Here is a 21,743-nt window from a genome sequence, read left to right on the forward strand (position 1 = left end):
AAGGATTAATTGAATGTCAGTTTTTTCAGAAAAGTTTGTACTAATATTTATTTGATTAAATATGCACTAAATACTTATTTTGAAAATTTTTGAAACAAGATAAATACTTAGTTTCAACCCTTATAGAGAAATCAATTTACATCTATAACTTCTTTAAATCTGCTCAATTTGATTTTTAATAGTAAACCCTCTAAGAACATGCTTAGAAGAAAAGAGAGGCCCTTTTACTAGTATTTAGAGCAAATTTTTATAAGAAAATATTTCTGATTTTGAGCTTTTCATAAGTAGTAATATTTCTTTTTTCTTTTTGCAACTTAGGAGCTGTGAAGGAAGAAATATCCGATACAGAACATGCAGTAATGTGGTAAGTATAAGGTTCTGAGATTGTAATCATGTATTTTTGTTAGCACTGAATGGTGCTAAGCAGTTTTATATCCTGAGCAGGAAATCAACCAACTAGTATTTCACTGAGAGTTTTTATCTCATACTGTACTGATTATATGCAGGACTAAAATGATATTTTTAAGTTCCTCATTATAGACTTTTAATCATTTGAGCAGCTTGAAACTAACTAGACTATTTCAAAACAAGGACTCTACATTTCCTCCCTACTTTCTGCCTTTTTGCATATAGATCTCATGAGGATGAGTGAGAGGGTTGATAAAAGGGAAACCAGTTGGGGTATCATGAAATAAATATTTGTAAATCAAACTCAGATTTGACAAACTCATTCATTTATTCAACAAATATTATTCAGTGCCAACTATGTGTGAGGCACTACACCAGTACAAGAATAAATAACATATGGTCCCTGTTTTAAACATCTGTAGTATAGTAAGAGGTATAGAGAAAGAAGACAGATGTGCATTGCACATAACCACATTCTAGGAAAAAAATATCACAAATGCCATAGGAAATAAATAAAGTTCTTTGTGGGCTAAAATAGAGAGAAATCTTAAAGGAAAAGGTGATTTGAGATACAGCTTGGAGGACTGTGACTAGCCCATATTGGATTTGAAGGGTTGACAGTCAGTCCAATGGAGAGGACATAATGGGCAAGTTTGGAGGCAGGAATGTCTGAGCACTAGTTTCACCAGAGTTGAGTATAGCAGTATAAAAGAGAAGAATTGAAATATATTTTTGAGGTTATATCATAAAAAGATTCGAATGTTAGTCTTCAAAGTTTATATTAGTTCAGTGAATAATGGGAGTCACTAAGAGCAAGAGTATGATGTTACAGAGTTTCCCTTTTAGAAAGGTTAATTTTTTGGTGATACAAGGGTTGCACTGGAACAGGAAGTGGATGAGGAGCAAGAAGTAATGAAGGCTTAAGCCTTCATTAGTAGTCACAGCTACTCACGAGGCTGAGGCAGGAGGATCCCTTTAGCCCAGGAGTTCAAGACCATCCTGGGGAGCATAGCAAAACCCTGTCTCTTATAAGAAAGAAGAAGAAGAAGGAGGAGAACTTAAACCCAGAGGAAATACTAAATAGACACAAGAGAGATCAAAATTAAGTTGACTCTGCAAGACTTGAAAAGCATTTGAAATTAGAGTGATAAGTTGAAGCGGGAATAAAGGAAACAAAGAGGTATATGCATATTTAGGACTTTTGTACTTGCCGATCCCTCTGTTGAAGAAGCTCTTTCCTCAATATCATGGGCATTTTTATTATTCCACATTTCTCTTCCGCATTGCCCAGAAGATATTCTCTATGAGGGCTCCACCCCTGCAGCAGACTTTTGCCTGGACATCCAGGCATTTTCATACATCCTCTGAAATCTAAGCAGAGGTTCCCAAACCTCAATTCTTCTGCACACCTGCAGGACCACCACAACATGGAAGCTGCCAAGGCTTGGGGCTTGCACCCCCTAAAGCAATGGCCTGAGCTGTACCTTGGCCACTTTTAGCCACAGCTGGAGTGGCTGGGACACAGGGCACCAAGTCCATCCAGAGGCTGCCTAGAGCAGGGGGCCACAGACCTGGTCCAGGAAACCATTTTTCCCTTCTAGGCCTCTGGGACTGAGATGGGAGGGGCTTCCAGGAAGGTCTCTGACATGATCTGGAGACATTTTCCCCATCGTCTTGGTGATTAACATTCATCTCCTCATTACTTGTGCAAATTTTTGCAGCAGGCTTGAATTTCTCCCAGAAAAAAATTTTTTCTATTTCATCATCAGGCTGCAAATTTTCTATAGTTTTATGCTCTGCTTCCTCTTGAATGCTTTGTCACTTAGAAATTTCTTCTGCCAGATACCCTAAATCATCTCTCTCAAGTTCAAAGTTACACAGATCTCTAGGGAAGGGGCAAAATGCCACCAGCCTCTTTGCTAAAGCATAAACAAGAGTCACCTTTGCTTTACTTCCCAACAAGTTCCTTTTCTCCATCTGAGACCACCCCAGCCTGGACTTTGTTGCCTGTATCACTATCAGCATTTTGGTCAAAGCCATTCAACAAGACTGTAGGAAGTTCCGAATTTTCCCACATCTTCCTGTCTTCTGAGCCCCCCAAGTATCTAGGAAGTTCCAACCTTTCCCACATTTTCCTGTCTTCTTCTTAGCCCTCCAAACTGTGCCAGCCTCTGCCAGTTACCCAGTTCTAAAGTCACTTCCACATTTTCAAGTATCCTTATAGCAGCACCCCACTCCTGATACCATTTTACTGTATTAGTCCATTCTTATGCTGCTTTAAGAACATATGCAACACTGGGTAATTTGGAAAAAAGAGATTTAATTGACTCACAGCTCTTCAGGGGTGGGGATTGTAAGTAGGAAACTTACAATCATGGCAGAAGGGGAAGCAAACACATCTTTCTTCACAGATGTCAGGAGAAAGAAGAATGAGAACTGAGTGAAGGGAGAAGCCCCTTATAAAATCATCAGATCTTGTGAGAACTTACTATCATGAGAATAGCATGGGGAAAATTGTCTGCATGAGTCAATTATCTCCACCTGGTTCTTCCCTTGACACGCAGGGATTATGGGAAGTACAACTTAAGATGAGATTTGGGTGGGGACACAGCCAAATCATATCAGACTCTGACCTCATATTACTTAAAATCCATAGCACTCCATGAGCCAAAATCTTTATAGCTTGTAGAATCAAGTTGATGCTGAATTTTTTTAATGAGAATCTAGAATCTTCAAATAATTTGAAGCTTTATTTTCTTGCTTTTAGTGATAACAGAAGCAGCATTGCGAAAAAACACACAAAAAAAATTTTAAGAAAGAATATTTTCATGATCACATCCCAGTTTTTCAAATTTGGAAGTTTAGAACAATTCAGTTAAATATTCTTTGTTAGGTGCTTGATTTGGAAAAACTTGAGAGTCTCTTAGCTAAATCTCCACGGTCATCTTTAATCCCTGGACAGCTTCCTTGGGGCACTTCTGAACTACTTCATCTCCAAAGATTCAGCCTCTTTTCCTATTTTTTGTAGAACCGCTACATATAACTTGTTGGGGAGTTCGTATTCCCCAGGGTAATATGAGGAGTAGAAAACATCTCCCCAGTTTCCCTTTTTTTTTTTTTTTCCTGAAAAGCAGCTCACAGGCTTTTAAAAATTTATTGCCAACCACTCTATAAGTAGTATGTCAATACAAGAAAGTTAAAGTTCCCATAATGTTTGCATAGTTCTCATAGTCATGGTACTTTCTTACTTTCTGTGTAGCTGGTTCAAGAAGACTATTTTCATTCCTAAGGACAGAGTTTATCTAATCTTTCCCATTTTACAGTTCCCTGCTCTATTCTAAGGAAGCAGCAAGGTGCTCCATCTCTGGAAGGAAAGACAAAGATGCTATTGGTAGAAAATAGGTGTGAGCTAGCAAACCAGTCAAACAGGTCATTTAGGTCTCAGAGATTTCACCACAAGACTAAGTGAAGGAGGCTCTTAAAAAGGTTTTCTTAGGTCATATCTTCATGTTAAACCTCAAATTTGAACCCCTTGAACTTAATTAGGGATTTTAAAGTGACTTCCAATGTGTTTAGAGTACTTATAAACTGTTTTTTTTGCACTATCCTTAAGGTTCATATGAGTTGGTATTTAGGAGGCAGTGACCATAATTAGCAACATAATAGGCCACACTGCTTGTGGTAGCTGGTGATGCTCTTAATTTCTTTATTAAATTCTTTGTTGCTCACTATAACATTTTACTGTTTTTAAGACAACAATATGTATTAAGCCCAAGAATTCTTCTTGGTCCTGGGGTTCATTGTTAAATAAAACCAAGACCCAATTCTCCTGAACCTTTCATTCTAATGGAGAAAAAGAGATTACAAACAAGCATGGAAACAAATTATTTAAAAGGAAATATATCAGCAGTTGGTGCAATGCAGAGAATTAAGCTATTGGTAGCTAGTTCAGAGAGGAAGTTCAGAAAATCCACTTGAGAAGTAACACTTGAATAACAAGAAGAAAACAGCTATGTGAATACTTAAGGAGTAGCAATCCAGAAAGGACAGCTAGTGCAAAGGCTGTGAAGTACAAGAGAGTTTGCTGTGTCAAGGAAATCATAAAGCCAATATACCTAAAGTCTAGTGGGCAAGAGGAAGAGTATTGGAAGATAAGAAAAAATCAAAACCAGAGGTAGGTGGGAGCTAGATCATGCAGGACACTGTAAAGTACTTACGTTATATTTTAAGTACAAAAATTAGCTGCTGGATGGCCAGGCACCATGGCTCACACCTGTAATCCCAATGTTTTGGGGGTGGAGGGGTGAGGCAGAAGGGTCACTTGAGGCCAGGAGTTTGAGACTAGCCTGAGAAACATAGCAAGACCTTGTTTCTACAAAACAAAAACCAAATATTAGCATGCTGGTGTGCACCTGTTGTCCCAGCTACTAGAGAGGCTGAGGCGGGAGGATTGCTTGAGCCCAGGAGTTTGAAGTTGCAGTGAGCCTTGTTTACACCACTGCACTCAAGACTGGAAGACAGAGCAAGACCTTGTCTCTATTTAAAAAAAAAAAAAAAGAAGAAAGAAGAAGAAGAAGAAGAGAAGAAAGAAGAAGAGGAGGAAGAGGAAGAAGAAGAAGGAAGAAGAGAAGAAAGAAGAAGAGGAGGAAGAGGAAGAAGAAGAAGAAGGAGGAGGAGGAGGAGAAGGAGGAAGCTCCTGGATAATTTTAAGCAGGGGAGAGTAGAATGGGACTTATAATGAAAAAGATAGGTTTGGCTGCAGGCTCACTCTGGAGAATGGATGCAAAGCAGGGGGAAGAAGCAGAAATTCCAGCAGGGGGATCATTGCGGTAGTTCAGGTGGGTGCTAATGGTTGTGTGGACTAGAGTGGCTCTGGTGGGAGGATTTGGGTATGTTCTAGAGATAGAATGGCTTTTCCTAAGTTACGGTGCCTCATCCTCAATTTGACATGATTCACTCTTGTGATCTCCAGCATTGTTGTGTGAAACAGGAGGCAAAGGCCGCGGCATTATAGCCAGAGAGAACAGAATGATCATGGCAAGTTTATAATTTCTTTGAGCCTCAGTTTCTACACTCAAACAGTGAGAGATTTGAAATGAATGACCTCAAAGGTCCCGTCCACCTCTGAAATTCTATAATTCTTAAGAAGTATCATATCTGGGCTATACTAGATTTGGATCTGAATGCAGATTAATGAAGATGTCTATGCTAGTTTAGTAACTGGCATGACTATAGTGAAAAGATTCATAGCAAGGGATAAAGTAGAGTCAGAGCAAAGAGAGTCAATGTGGAGAGTGGAAGCAAAGTTCTCATCCTTGCTGTACAATTGACCATCCATCTTGACTGGTGATTCTCGTTGAGGTTGTGAAAATTCATGGCATTCACAGAGTTGTTCATGTGGTTATTAACAGTGGGCGTAAGGTAAATTCCCATTTGGTCTATTTGTCTATTTTTCTCATAAGGCCTTTGTATATCACAAAGTCAGGAAACACTTGGTGCTTTATGTCAAGGATCAAATGGAACATATGGAAGAAACAATGACGCTGCTACAGGTCTTCCTTGGTCAGAATTTGAAAGAAACTGTTGAAACAACATTCAGACCAGAGAAATACCCCTGAAGTCTAGAGAGATGCTCTAGTAAATAATAACAACTGCAAGAGTTGGTCAGTGAGCCAACTCTTTCCAGCCAACGCTTGGCTCTTTCCAGCCAAGAGCCACTCTAAGATGGGAAGTAGGCTACTAAACTTTCCCATACTCTAGTCCTTATTATTCTAGCAGTTGAAAATAAGGCATGATGCTACTTGCCAGGGCCATTTATTTTTTGCTTATTCGCTTATTCATTCTCTTGATCAATCAGTTTTAAAACAGCATTTATTGAACACCCAACTCCTGTTCTGTACTAGGGATATCAGGAGTTGCCACCATCAATAAAGAGATAGGCAGCCTGCCCTTGGGGGAAGTCAGAGGCTAGGAGAAAAGACAAATACACAAACACAAAACTAAATAAAGTATGACGCACGCTATCAGTATGGAGGTAAGAACAAAGTGCTAAGTCATGGAAGGACCATGTCTGATTCTTTCACCGCTGCATACTCAGGGTCTGGCATTCAGTGTCTGACACCATGCCTCTTGCACTGTGAACCTGGAAACGCAGAAAACTCACAGAACTGCCTCAGGTTATTTTGAATATTCAAGGGAAACATATCAAGACTTAACATATGTTGAACACTCTTTGAACTATTTGATCATGCTGTATTCCTTTCTATGACATCTCATCTTCGTAAAGCTGGGTTTGCTTTGATAAAAAGCAAGTACTGTGAGAAAAACAACATGGAATAGGAAACAAGAATGAGGATTGTCCAATCTGATTCCAGGCTTTGGGATGTAGTACAGGCACACACATCCCATTAATAAATAAATGTTATTTATGAATGAAGTAAAATAGTACTTTTCTCTCAAGTTATATGCATTGTTTTTTCAAATGGCTATTAAATCATCAGGACACAAATATATATTAAGTTGCTTGGACCTAACTGCTTAATAAATGGAATTGTTTGGTATTCCTGTTGGCCGGCCTAGAAGTACCACAAAAAACTCACCCAGACATTAATGGTGCTGTAAACAGAAATTAAGAGCCTCTGATCCAACTCACTGTAGTCATTCAACACATAGGATGAATAAAAAAATGCATGACATTCTAAATAAGGTGACAGTTGAGCTGAGCTTTAAAAGATGAAAGGGATTTTTTCAGGCTGCAATGAGAAAGAGAAAGAGAGAGGGAGAGTTAGTTTTCTGAAAAATGGAAGTAGAGTCAACAATATCCACTGGGATTTACCAGGTCTCAGGCACTTTTTCTAGGCACTGGCGTATAATATTAACAGAGAAAGATAATGCCCCTGTTCTTATGAAGCTTATATTATAGTGTGAGATGCAGATGATAAAGTTTTAAAAGAGGACAGTTTCATATAGTGAATGATTATGCTACACTTGATCTTAGCCAAAAGGCCGAGAAGCGATAGTGAATGATTATGAAAGAAATAAAGCAGAGTAATGGGATGGAGAGTGACACAGGGATGGAGGGTTGCTCTACCTGAGGTGGTCAGGAAATTCTCTCTGAGTTGACATTTAAATGTCCTTAGTATGTTTGGAAGGTGAGGCATGAAGGAGCCCAGCTTATTTGGGGGCCTGTGGGTCATTTTATCAGGTGCAGTACAAGGTATATTGTGGGGAAAGAAGTGGGATATTTATCTATGCTGAAGAGCCTGAACTTAGCCCCACATGTTATTTCATAAGGGACATTCTTAGCCCCTCACTCAGAGTGATGAGCTTTGGAAGAGCAGAAGGCTGAAAGAAAACTTGGTGACTCTATCTACCCCTTCTGTGCATTTCTCTTCTCCCAGGCCCGGTCTGCCAGTCTCAGGTGAAATATATCCAAGGCAGGAGAGGGATTTCTTAACCTCAGGTAGGAAGACTCTTAAGTGAGAAAGAAATTCTAATTGCAGGAACGTTGATTTCTTCCTAATAAATGTGCCAAATCCCCCACCTACTAGAGAGGGCCTCCAAGAACCTGGCTGCTGCTTCACCCTGCCACAGACGCACTCTCTCCAGTAGTGGACCAAAGAAATATACTTCTCCCCAGACCCATCCATGCTTCAATCTTTCCTGACCTACCCAGCTGAAAAACAGAAATTTCCCTCATACTATATAACCTCCCCTAAGATAGACATTGCTCTCATGTTAAAGTCAGATGGGACATGTCTTTTCTAAGTCACTTGATGAAGGCTTGATTTGTACACTGATACAACAAAATTGGGAGCAGGCTCTCCTATCTTTCAGAGTCTGCATGCATTCTGCATTTGGACAGTCTCTAAAAGGCTATTACGATGTATGAGTGGCAGGCGCAGTGGCTCATGCCTGTAATCCCGGCACTTTGGGAGGCCGAGGCAGGCAGATCACCTGAGGTCAGGAGTTAAGACCAGCCTGGTCAACATGGTGAAACACCGTCTCTACTAAAAATATAAAAATTATCTTGATGTTGTGGTGGGCACCTGTAATCCCAGCTACTCGGGAGGCTGAAGCAGGAGAATCGCGTGAAACCAGGAGGTGGAGGTCGCAGTGAGCTGAGATCGTGTCATTGCACTCCAGACTGGGCAACAAGAGCAAAACTCCATCTCAAAGAAAAAAAAAAAAAATTTATGGGTGGGAGGAGTGTGGAGAGTAATTTAAAGGATCTATTTTTCACTTTTTCAATCCCATGGATAATGAGGACTTAAAGCAGTGTTATGTAGCAGAAAGAACATGGGCCCTCTTGAATCCTGAGCTGCCACTTACCAGTTATGTGCTTTCAAACGCGTTTATTAACCTCTCTCAGTCTCAGTTTTCTTGCATATAAAAATATCGTTCTAATATATGTACAAACAGAAAATGTTAATACAATGTTAATGGTAATTTTAAAATTGGAAACAAATGGAGGATGGCTGGTTAAATAAGGTGTGATATGCTCATAGCATGGAATGCTATACAGTCATTAAAAAGATTAAGGTGGATCTATTTGTACAAACCTGTGAGTTCTTCCAAATTATCTTGTTAAAAGTTTAAAAAAGCAAATTGTGGAGTAATAACCTATAGTATGATCTCAGTTTTTAATAATCCCCAGAATGAAATGTGTCTGGTTGTGTGGCACCATCCCAAGGCATTGAAGGACACACATCCAACTGATCACCTAATACAGAGCAGGGAGGGACTGAATAAGTTAGGGGGACTTTCATTTTTTATTCTATATGCTTTTATAGTGTTTTAATTTTTTATAATGAACACATATTCCTGTATTTGTAGTATAATTTTAAAGAAAATACAAAACAAAAGAAGATGAGGTTGGGAGAAAACATTTTATACATAATTGAGTTTTTATTTGTTTTTGAAACAAAGAAAAAAAATACCACCTCCCAGAGTTCTGCTGAGGATTATGTGAGAAAATGTCTAAAATGCACTCAGCCTGGTACCTGACTCAGTCATGTTGGCTCTACTCTTCCTCATTACCTGTTATGTTTTGAATTATGTCCTCATTCCATTATGTGTTGGAATCCTAAACTCCCATACCTCAAAATCTAACTATATTTGGAGTTGTGGTCTTTAAAGATGTAATTAAGTTAAAATAAGGTCATTAAGGTGGGCCCTAAATCAGTATGACTGGTGGTCTTTAAAGAAGATATTAGGATGCAGACACACAGAGAGAAGACATGTGAAGACACAGAAGAAGGCTGCCTTCCACAAGCCAAGGAGAGAGCCCTCAGTAGAAACCAACCTTGCAGACCCCTGATGTTGGCCTCCTAGACTCCAGAATTGCATAAAAATAAATTTCAGTTGTTTAGCTCACCCAGTCTGTGGTATTTTCTTATGGCAACCCTAGTCAACTAGTATACTACCTTTCTTCAACTTCCTCCTCTCTTCTGACAAAGTACTGTTTCTGAAAGACTACATTATTTTTTAAAAACTGAAAATTAGATCACTTTGAAATTCCAAAGATCAGCCTTATTCTATGGCATCATGGGTAATTTCTCCTGATTGTTTTGCCAAGTGACAAGTTCCAGGTATTCTGGAAGGAGAATGTTAGACCTCATTTCCGGCAGAACTGCAGGCTTATAATGGCCCTTCCTTTGGACGAACTCTAGAAAAACAGACTTTCTATACAATGCCCAGTTATTAGGCTGGACAGTCAGGTCTCTGGCAACTATCATGGCTTGGCTGTTCTTTGGCCAAATACTTGATTGGAATTGCTGTATATTCTCAGAATTATATCCCAGGGGACAAATCAGTATCCACCAAAAGAAGTCTAACTTACTGTAAAGCCAAGATGAATGTAGGATGGTGACTAAACTCATTATAGGACATTGTGGTTTGTGTGTTTCTCCTTTTTGGAGTTGAGAAGAACTGCTGTTGCTAGAACAAAAGGATGTTCTTTAGGCAACACATCTGCAAAAAATCCTAATTTCTCTGATTTGACCCACAGCTTTTTTTTTTAATGCTAAAATTAGATAACAAAGGGAAACAATGTTTCTGAAAAGAGAAATGATGAGTGACTTTGATTGTTTCTCTGAGGGCAGAGCCCCTATCCACCCTGTGATAACATCAAGGCTAAATAAGCTTTCAGTATCTTGCAAATAAATTAATCTCTAAATGCAATTGTACAGCATGCCATGTGGACAACTGGAGGTTGACTTTGGTTCAAAACACATCATTTCTTTTTCGCTAGTTAAACACTGAACATTCAGAGTAATGGTTGAAAATATTTGCAGCAATTACTCTGGGAAAAAAAATCCTCATATTTTATGACTAACTGTTTTATCATTTGTGGCATAAAGAAATAAACATTTTTTTAATGATTCACAGATTCCTTCATTTGATGGATCTGGTGGCTATAGATCTCCCTGCAGTGCTTGCTGCCAGGCAGCTGGCCAAGTTCACTGGGTGCCCCCCAGCCCCAGTAAGTTAGGCCTTCTGCTTTTCCTCTCCTCTCGGCCTTCTTCTGACTGTGGCACACATTTCTTTTTTAATGCTTTTTCTGACATGTCTTTATTTTACTCCTCCTTATTCTCTCTCCTATCCCTTCTCCTTAATGTGTTCTCAATTTCTTATCCTCTGCTTCAACTCTGACTCTCTCGGGAGGGTTCTGGTATGAACACTCGTCAGTGGAAAGAATACAGGCTTGGGGGCTCTGTTACTTACTAACTTTGTGGTTTGGGGCAAGCTCTTCAACTTCTCGTAGCCTCAGTTTCCTCAATCTTGAAGTGGAAATAATAGTAATGCTCAGTTATAGTATTCCTTTATAGAAATCAGTGCAACAATGGAAATACATGGGAAATAACAAATTTTAGTTCTTTCTTCCACATTGCCTTGGTAAAAGCTAAGTGAGTGACACTCTTACAAGAAACAGGGCCCAGTGAAACCACAGCCCACAGTATCACATCAGCATTAAACATTTCCTTCCAGAAAAGTTATATTCCTTGGCTAAGGACAATTTCACTCTTGTTCATAACTCAAGGTGATATAATAAAAAACTCCAAATTGTTAGGGAACATATGAAAGGGAATATATTAGTAAAACTGATTTCTGTTTGATGGCATCTTTCTAGTATACTTAAAGGGCCATAGGAGATATTGTCCCCTAAATTGATCACAGTTTTTTTTTTCAGCCAGCATCATCCCATGGAGACCACGAGAGCGGGGTTTAGCAATAGTTGTAAATGACCATTGAGTGATATGAGCTGGCATTCCTGGCCTGAAGAGTCACACCTTCCAGCTCACTTGGGTGATGCTGACTGACAAGCAATCACCTATATTATTGTCTTGTGGATTGATGGCTAATGCCAAGCATCTACTTTCCTTGACTCAGTATGAATAGGAATGCCTACTTGGCCAACCCGTAATTTCCCTCAATATTGCCATGATCAGTTGTTATATTGAGACCCACTCAGCTAGAGCTAACTCCTATTATTAATGACAGAGTGATGACTAAATGCATGTATGAAGAAAAGAAAAATCATTCAACAGCTCAACTTTCAACTGATGAAGAGAATTAAGAATGAGACCATCATTTCCACAGGGTTGAAAATTATTAGATTGAGAAAAGCTGATATGAGTCCCCTCTCCTGGCTAGCTCCACGAGCTTAGGCAGACAGCTTTCATCTCTTTCTGCCACAATCCCCGTTATTGAAAATGACAGATAAAGACTGATTACATACCTCAGAGAGAACCTGGCAAAGTTATAGACTCATAGAATGTTAGAATTAGAGAAGAATTAGTATATTTGGGTTGTCTGCCCTGTGCCAGGCATGGTACCTTATGACCTTTTGCCCCAAACTCATTCAATTCTCACCACTACCTTGAAAATTGGGCATTACCTTAATTATACAGATAAGGAAATTGGAACATTTAAAGACATGAAATGCCTTATTTAGGCTATACAGCTAAGGAGTGGTCCTGTCAGGTTTGTAAATGCCGAAGCACATGCTCATTTCACCATAACACCAGGAGCTATATGGGTGATCTGGACTAATTCTCATTTAGTAAACAGCAAAACTGAGATCCAAAAAGTTTAAGGCTCAAGCATTTTTACAACATATGCTTTTTTTTTTAAGAAAAGAGATATTCAAACAAGTCTATTATAGCAATTATAATTCTTCAAGGCTAGAAGTATATGAACTGCTGAGAATTTTTAATGTGCAAATTAAATACAGCAGAAAAAGCAAATCCAAGAATCCTTGCTGAAAACATCTCTAATTCCCTCTCCTTTGAGCGTCTCTGCCTGTCAAGAGGATATAAATTTATTAAGTCAATACTCCTCAGAATTTACTTTCTCAAGTCCTAGTTTCTGAATTTCATAAAAAGGATGCTGGCCTCTAGTGAACCAGATAGAAGCTTGAAGCAGGGATTTGAGAATAATTTAGAAAGAAATTACTACTGCAGTTCATCCCTTGGCAAGGCCCTACGGAATGAAACCAAATAAGCTGCCATGCCTAGGTTGCTAACGTGCAAATACTTGCATGTGTTCAGCCTGGTTTCTGTAAGCCTAGAAACGATAAGCAGCATCAAATCTTCTCATTAACACCAAGATGTGCTGAAACTCAAGCAGCATGAACTTGTAGGTTTTTCCCTCCAAGACATCACTTTGTGCTGGGTACTATAAGCAAGGGCCATTATTTAATTAGTTAACAAGTTTTTGTACTATCATTCTAGCAGTCTTGTCCTTCTTATGTTTTCCTTTGCATTTTAAACATTCTCTTTCTTTTAAGAGGAAATTGTGAAACTTAAAGAGGTTATCTTTGAGGTTTGGCTATATTTTTCTTTATAATCTTGCTATGAGCAGTAACTACATATGGCTGTTGGAGAGTGTTTAGTTTGGGTTTCAACTCAGTTGAGAGTTTTGAGTGAAATATGGTCATCACAGTGGGAAGGCTAAAGAGGCATTATTATTTTCATTATTATTGGTTTTTTTAGAGACAGGATCTTGCCTGTCCCCCAGGCTGGGGTGCACGGGTACAATCACAGCTCACTATAACCTCAAACTCCTGGACTCAAGTGATCTTCTCATTAAAAAGCATTATTAGATTCCTTTTCCTTTGAATCTTCACTGAGTAAATATACTTTATAGCTCTTTAACACCCGTATCCAACAACATACCAACATCCCTTTCCCAAGCAGCATATTCATTACCAAAAAAACTTATTCCTTCCCCAAATAGAAATTTTTAAAAGAAAGATATCACTGTTTTACAATGTGTAATTTATACCTTTTTATTTTTTCTCCCATTAAAATATGACTAGGATTTATTTACTTTGAATTGTTATAGATATTGGAAGTAATTTAGACAAAACTGTCAATTCTTATAGAACAGTATTTTGAAAAAACTATTTTTAAGCTACTTTTTATATTTGACTTCGTGACTGGGCAATGAAGACAAGCAGCCAGATTTCCAGGCACACCACCCCTATTTCATTCAAAACAAGTCTGCTTTTAACTGCTGTATTTATTAGCATCCTATGTAGATTTCTTTGGAAGAAAAATAATCATTCAGCAACGAAAATAAAGTTTGAAAACACCTGCTTTATGATATCTCATAAGGTCTTCTAAATTTTACGTGGCTATTTCTAGGTAAGAAATTCTCCAATAAATGTCTATTCTGTACAATTCTAATTGCCAAGAAGATGTTTCTTAGAGCAAAATGATGTGTACTTTCTTATTACCATTTAATTTACTATAGCAGATCGTTTTTGACTACATGCAAAGCATTGCTCTAGGAGCAAATGAAAATAAGAAAATGTATGTAAGACTTTGTACTCTCAAATGTTTTAAAATTGGAGGGAGGAAGAGAATAAAGACAAAAATATAGATAGGATTTGATGCAGAGTAAGTTACAAAAGTACAACAGAAGAGCTCAGAGGACATCTATGCAATCTATTAATATCTTAATATCTATTCATCCTCTCCTTTCCAAGCAAGCAACAATCACAGATTAAATATAAAATGATAAAACCAGTGGCATAGCCAGGTTCAAAAGCAAGAGAAAAAGTCCATGGACCAAAAATGGAAAATAAATGCAAGATGGTGAATAGTGCTGATTTCATAGGCTTTTTGGCTCCAAGACTGAAATAAAGCAAAGATTGGCAGTAGCTTGACTCTGGTAGGATACCAGGGTTGAATTTCCTTCACAGAAGAAGCAGGACCTAAGCCAGGTAGAAAACTTGATGTCAGGAGTTTCGAGGAGGCTCTCTGTTGTGAAGAGCGGCTGTATATATATATAAAAAAAAAAAAAAAAAAAAAGACAGTTGCCAGTTGCCTAGAATGAGAGTTTTCTCTGAAATTGTGTGTCTAAAAGAGGCTGTTTGATAGACATAGATACCATATCATGAACTGAAACTCTACCAAGCCATACTTTCCCTCTGGGTCTAGACTTGCAATTTCTTCATTATGGATTAAAACCCAAAATTTTAGTACAGTATCTGATTCTGGACCGGGGGCCATGTGAACCGTATGGAGATAATCATAAAACCATTGGAACAGACAAAGACAGGGAGAACAAAAGGAAAACAAACAGCTTTTCACTAAAAATGAGCCTGCAAATAAAAATTCCAAAACATAGGAAAAAAATATATATATAATACCAAGAAAGACAACAAAATTAACGTTCACACCAGATAAAATTCTGTGAAACAGTTTGACAAAGACTTTAAAATTAATAAAGTCAATCCTCTTTATTGATGGATGCTTGCAATTGTGAATTGTCTACTTACTAAAATTTGCTTGTAACCCCCCAAATCAACACTTATGGCACATTTGTGGTCATTCATGGGCATGTGAAGAAAAGTTAAATCTTTGAGTCGCTGAATGAACATGTTCCCAGCTGTGGTTGAACAAGGGACACTCTGCCTTCCTGTTTGAGCTCTCATACTGTAAACAAGTGTCCTTTTGGCAGTCTATTTAGTGTCAAGTTTTTCACGTTTATTTTTGTGCTTTTTTGGTGATTTCATTGTTTAAAATGGCCCCGAAGCATATGCTGAAGCACTGTCTAGTGTTTGCAAGCTCAAGAAAGCTGTGATGTGCCTTATGGAGAAAATGTGTGTGTTAGATAAGCTTCCTTCAGGCCTGAATTACAGTGCTGTTGGATGTGAGTTTCATGTTAATGAATCAACAATCTCTACAAGGAGTGTTTAAAAAGAAACATACATTAAATAAGGTTATCTACAGATCAGTTAATTAAAATGTTGTGACCAGAGACTTGAAGGAACTGTATTTCTCCCTAAGTGCAATGGTTCATTATTTGCTAATTCAGCATTTATGGTGATTTTCTAGAACGTAAGTGACACAAATAATGAGTATTGACTTTATGTTGAAAAGAAACACATTAAGAAATAACAGTGCTTAAAAATAAAGAATAAATTAGGGAGTAAAGACAGAAATAAAGCATTAAATAGATAGATGAAGAAAATAAATTATTAGAAATTTGCAATTCAAAAATCTAGTAATTGAAATAAAAATTTATCCATAGATAGGATAAATTCCAAACAAGATGCAGAATCAGTGAAAATTTGAAGATAGAAGTTAGAAACTTTACCCAAAATATAGGCCAAAATTCCAAAATATATAATACAAAAGAGCCCTTAAGAGATACAGAGAGTGTACAAAAGGCTCCAATATACATCAAATAGGAGTGTTCAATGAGAAGGGGCAGAATTCCATTTAGAATATTCCAGAAAGGAAAAAAATAGTTATCAGACTAAAGTTGCAATGAAAGTGCTGAACAGGAAAAATAAAAATACATAACCAGACATATCATGGTCAAACATCAGAAGGAGATTCCAACTTTAGGATAAGGGGGAAATAGTAAAAGCTACCAGAGAAAAGACAGAGTACCCACAAAAGAATGAAACTTAGACTAAAGGCTGAAACTTCTCAGTCATAATGGAGTGTAAAAGATGAGTTAATGTCTTCAAAATATGAATGGAACATAACTGTCAGTGTAGAATTTTGTACTCTCAACTTTCAGTGAAGAGTGTAGGCAAAATACAAACATGTCCTGATCTACAAAGATGAGCATTAACTACCCATGGACTTTCACTAACATAACTACTACAGGCTACATTTGAGGAAGAAAAATATAGGAAAGGTGGGCAAAAAGCAAAACAATGGTGATCCCCAAAGGGGTATGAGAGTGTGTATATGTATGTATGTATGTATGCATGTTACATGGCTTCTCTTCAATAATATTTCTGGTATTCTTTTCCTAATGAGTGTCTGGGACTATTGAACTTCCCCAACCCTTTGAAGTTAGACATGACCACATATGTTGCTTTGGTCACTGAAATGTGGGTTTAAATGAGCTATGTTACTTTCTGGAGGAAGCAATCAAGGGACACTGTGACAGTCCCCAAGTTCTGTCTTTCTTGCTTTAGTGACCAACGAGTCTATGTGCCCTAAAACCTAAAATCTTGCTTCTCAAAAAGTAATCTGGGGTCCAGCAGCATCAACGTCAGCCTGGTTCCTGTGAGAAATGAATATCAAGTTTCATCTTTGGCCTGCAGAATCAAAATCTTCAGTTTAACAAGATCTCCAGGTGACTCGTATGCACATTAAAGGCTGAGAAGCTCTGTTCTATCAGATGGTCCTTCCTTTCCCAGCCTGGGTCACTGAGTTACCCCACAGATGACAGCTGCTCTGGAAAGACATTTTATGAGAAAGAAATAAATATTTGTTTTGTTAAACCAAAGAGCTTTTGGAGATGATTTGTATTTTCAAAATCACCTAACTTATCCTGACATCTACAGTTAATATGGTAACACAATGGTTCTCCAAAGATATCTATGTCCTGATCCCTGAAACTTGTGAATATATGTTACATGGCAAAAAGTATGTACTTCTGTAATTAAGGTTGCAGACCTTAAGATCTTAAGGTTGCAGGAAGTATATCCTGGAGTATTCAGGTGAGCCTCATCTAATCACACAGACTCCTAAAAGCAGAGCGCTTTCCTCAGCTGGAGGCAGAAATGATTGTAGCAAAAGAAACCAGAGATTCTAAGCACAAGAAGGCATTCATGTACTGTTGTTATTGGCTCTGAGATGGAGGGGGCCGTGGCAAGAACCGCAGAGAAGTTTCTAGGAGCTAATGGTCACCCCCAACTGATGCCTAACAATGAAGTGGGACATCTGTCTTAAAACCCCAAAGAACTGAATTTAGCCAACAACCTCAATGCATTTGGATGTGGATTCATCTCCGCAGCCTCTAAAAAGTAAGCCCTTCCAATGCCTTGATTTTGGCCCAGGGAAACGCTAAGAAAAGGACCCACTGAGCCATGCTTTATCTGGGTGTCTGTACACAGAATCATGAGATAATAAATTTGTGTTGTTTTAAGCACCTACGTTTATGATAAATGTTTATGGCAGCAATAGAAAACTAATATTATTAATCCAACTGCTGACCATAACTTTGGTGGGTTTTTTTAAAAAAACATATTTGTGTATTACTAACATTCCAATGTTTAGTGTGTGCTAAGATCCCTCTTGTATTTGGGAAGAAAATGGAAACACAAGATAAGTTTACATTTTTTGGAAATGCAAGTTTAGATGTACATTTTAAAATTTTAAATATTCAGTAACAGACTAGAAATATCATCTATAGCTTCCAAACTAACAGAGAAAATCTGGAGAATAAAGACAGCCTTACCAATTTAATAGAAGCTAGGAAAAGAGAGAAAAGAATCAAAAAGGATGGTAGACAAAAAATACAAAACAAAATGCCAAAGTTTTCCAAAGTGGTGGTTTCAATCCATATTCCCACCAGAATTATACTTGTTCTCTTTGCTTCATATCCTTGCCAGTGCTTGATATTGTAAGACCTTTTAATTTATTTTCCTATCTGTGGGTGCATTCCTAGAATATACCCAACTTGCTCATAATATATTATATTGTTTACATCTTGTTTTGGTTTCCTAATAATTTGTTTAGGACAATTTGCCTCTATGTTTATGAGTAATTTTATTTCTTATATAATTCTTATCTGATTTTAATAAAAGAAATTGGGACATGTTTCTTCTTTTCTAGTCTTTGAAAGAGTTTATTTTATATTGAGATTGTCTATTCCTTTCATGTTTAGTAAATCTTGCTTGTAAAATTATGAGAAGAGATTTTCTTTGGGGGAAGATTTTTCATTACCGCTGAATTTTTTTTTTTTTTTTTAAGTCTACATGCAGTATAGCCTAGTGCCCAAAGAATGAGTTTTGGAGGCAAACTGTCTAGATTCAGTCTCAGGTCTGACCTCCTAACTGTGTAGAAAGTCACTTAACCTCACGGTGCCTCAGTCTCCTCATTTGCAAAATGAGGCACATAGGGTCGTCGTGAGGATTTCATGAACTGATATATGTAAACATGTAGGTCAGTGCCTGTCACATAATAATACTATAAGCATTTACTTTTGTTGTTATTTCTCTTTCTTCTCGAATAGTTGTGTTTTTTGTTTTCTCTCACTTGTCTAAGACTGTTTTCAAGTATGATGCCTTAAAGTAGGTTGAACTTCTCTGTAACTTTCTCTTCAACTCTGGCTGTATCTGCATCTGTCTCCCTATTTGCATCTCTAATGGTGTTTGGGATTTCTTCTTTGTTAAGAAAGAAGAAATTCAAACTTCATCATTTAATGAAATTTGTCAGAATTTATTTTATTAATCTTTTCAAGTAGCAGCCTTTGGCTTTGTTGAGCCTATGGTTTTTATATTTTCCACTTCATTGATATTTATATTATTTTCTTTAGCTTACTTTCTTCAAACTTATTTTAGTGTACTTTTTGTAATTCCTTAGGTTTGAAGCTTGGTGTTTTACATTTCAGACTTTCTTGTTTTCACAGAAATGTTAAAATAAATACAGCTTTAGTTGCATCCCGCAGTGTGATAAAAAAAAATTTTCATTATCATTCAGTTCTAGGTATTTTTAAATTTCCATATGATTCCTTCAGGTCATAAATTACTTACAAATCTGTTCATTAACTTCTAAATACATGGGGCATTTACATTTTTCTTTATTAATCGCTAACAATTGCATTATGATTTTTCCAAAATGGTCTTTTTATTCCATTTCTTTGGAATTTGTTGAGATTTTGTTTGATGACCTGTTATCCACACTTTCTTGTAGAGAACATGTTTTCCTGCTCTGGAGTGTAAATTTCTATATGAGTATATCAAATGTTTTGAATGTGTTTATTAAATGTCCTAGTTCTTTAATAATTTTTTTAAAATACTTGAGAGAATGATATTTAAAATCTTCTTCTTTGTTAGGTTAATTTGCCAATTTCACCTTGTAGTCCGTTTGGGTTATTTTGGACTGTCTTATTAGGTAGATATACATTTAAAATTGTTTGATCTTTCTGAAGAAGCTAATCTTTCTTCATAAGTTAGTGACTGTCTTTATCAGTAGTAATCCTTTTTGCCTTAATGTATAGTTTATCTGATATAAATATTCACCTTTCATTTGATTAGATCTGTCTCTTACATCTTTTTCTACTCCTTTACTTTCCACCTTTCTTTATCTTTATGGATATTTAATGTAAATATTTTTAATTTTTAATCTTATAATCTTTGCTTTCTTCCATCTATTTGCTGTCACTATGGTTACTGATAAAATTACACTTATCTCTATCTTTAAATTTATGGATATTTAATGTAAACATTTTTAATTTTTACTTTTATAATATTTGCTTTCTTCCATCTATTTGCTGTCACTATGATTACTGATAAAATTAGACTTATTTCTGCCATCTTACTTTCTGATCTCTAGTTGGCCTGCTTTTCCAATGTTTCCTCTTTTCTTCTTGACTTCTTAGAGCTAGTCCCAGTCTTTTTTTTTTTTTTTCTTATTATACTCTTCCCTCTTCCCTCTACTGGTTTAAAAGTTATATATCCATTTCTATTTTTTTACTAATTACCCTAACTTTTAATATGCATACCTAAAGTTAAATAGTATTTATCCCCACCTATCAAATAATTCATGTCTCTTCAAACACTTTAGCTCTGATTAACCCCCTCAGATTTATGTGCTATTTTTGTCAAGTGTTTTAGCTCTATTTTTCTTAACTCACAGATTAGACACTTGATATAGTCAAAGTTTATTCAGATATACTTGAAAACATTCCACTTTATTTGATCCCATTTTTTCTCAGATCATAGATCTTCAAATATTACTTTCCTTTTATCTGGAGTATATCCTTTAGACTTTCTGTTAGTGAGGGTTCATTAGAAGTGAGTGCTTTTGGTTTTCTGTATTTTGTTTGTCTGAAATATTTGTATTTGGTGCTCTCTCTTGAAAGTTAGTTTTGCAGTGAACTTAACTCTACGTTGACAGTTATCTTGTCTCAACACTTCAAAGAGAATTATCCATTGACTTCTAACTACCATCGTTGCCATTGAGAAGCCAGCTGTCATTCTAATTTGTTTTTCCTGTATCTTTTCTGCCTGACTTCTTTTATTTATTGTTGGTGTTCAGTAGTTAGCTATGATCTTTGTAGAAATGAATCATTATTTTATTTTATTCTCATTAGACTTCTGAATCTGAGGATTTGTATTTTTAATTATTTCTGGAAAATTCTCACAAAATTATTTTCTCTATGTAATTCACATTTCTTAGTCTGTTATTAATGCTTTTTACATCTTTGTCTCTCTATATTGTATTTTATATAATTTCTTCAACACTTTCTCTCATTTAACAATATCTCTTCCCAGCTGTATCTAATATGCTTTTTATTCGACCTGAAAATTTATAAAAACATTTATATCTGCATGTATATGAGTTCTGTTTTTTTTTTAAATCTACATGATGACACCTGTTCTTTGGTTACTCTTTCAAAATTCTTCTTAAAAATGTCCATAAGCATGTTAAATTTTTTTATTTTGCATCCTGTGTCTGATAATTTCACTATCAGAATTTTCTGTAGGTCTGATTTTCTTGTTTCTGCTGTCTCCTTTTCACGTTGCCTTGTTTCCTCATGTTTTATGTTATCCTTATATGCTTTCATGATTGTTGGAATTTAAGAGGGAGTTCCTTGTAATCTGGTTTACGATGTGTACTTCCTGGAATAATTTACGTTTGCTCTTGAGGAGGATGTTGGCATAGGGTGACCCAATGCGAATCCAAGACCACTTTACATTCCCAAATGTCCGCACTAAGTGAATTGTTTCCCAAATTGTCATGAGTCCTATTGTTAGAAACTCTGAAGGAAACTTCTACCCCCAACCTTTACCCGTAGCCAACCTGAGATAAGCAAGTTTTCCTTATTATTTCTTTATGTGGATCTGAGTGGTT

The 21,743-nt window shown here is 36.8% G+C and overlaps 1 protein-coding gene across 16 annotated transcripts in view; it reads left to right on the forward strand.

Annotated features, from left to right (window-relative positions):
* The window catches only part of ADAMTSL1 (ADAMTS like 1), a 1,004,318-nt gene that overhangs the window by 626,296 nt on the left and 356,279 nt on the right, over positions 1-21,743 (forward strand). For all 16 annotated transcript variants that reach the window (XM_011518064.4, XM_017015312.3, XM_011518063.3 and 13 more), the window contains one exon: positions 319-364. In XM_011518064.4, coding sequence (XP_011516366.1) covers positions 319-364 — 46 coding nt within the window. The remainder of the gene's footprint in view (positions 1-318; positions 365-21,743) is intronic.

Source organism: Homo sapiens, chromosome 9 (genome assembly GCF_000001405.40).
Source record: "Homo sapiens chromosome 9, GRCh38.p14 Primary Assembly".
Taxonomy (NCBI): Eukaryota; Metazoa; Chordata; class Mammalia; order Primates; family Hominidae; genus Homo; species Homo sapiens.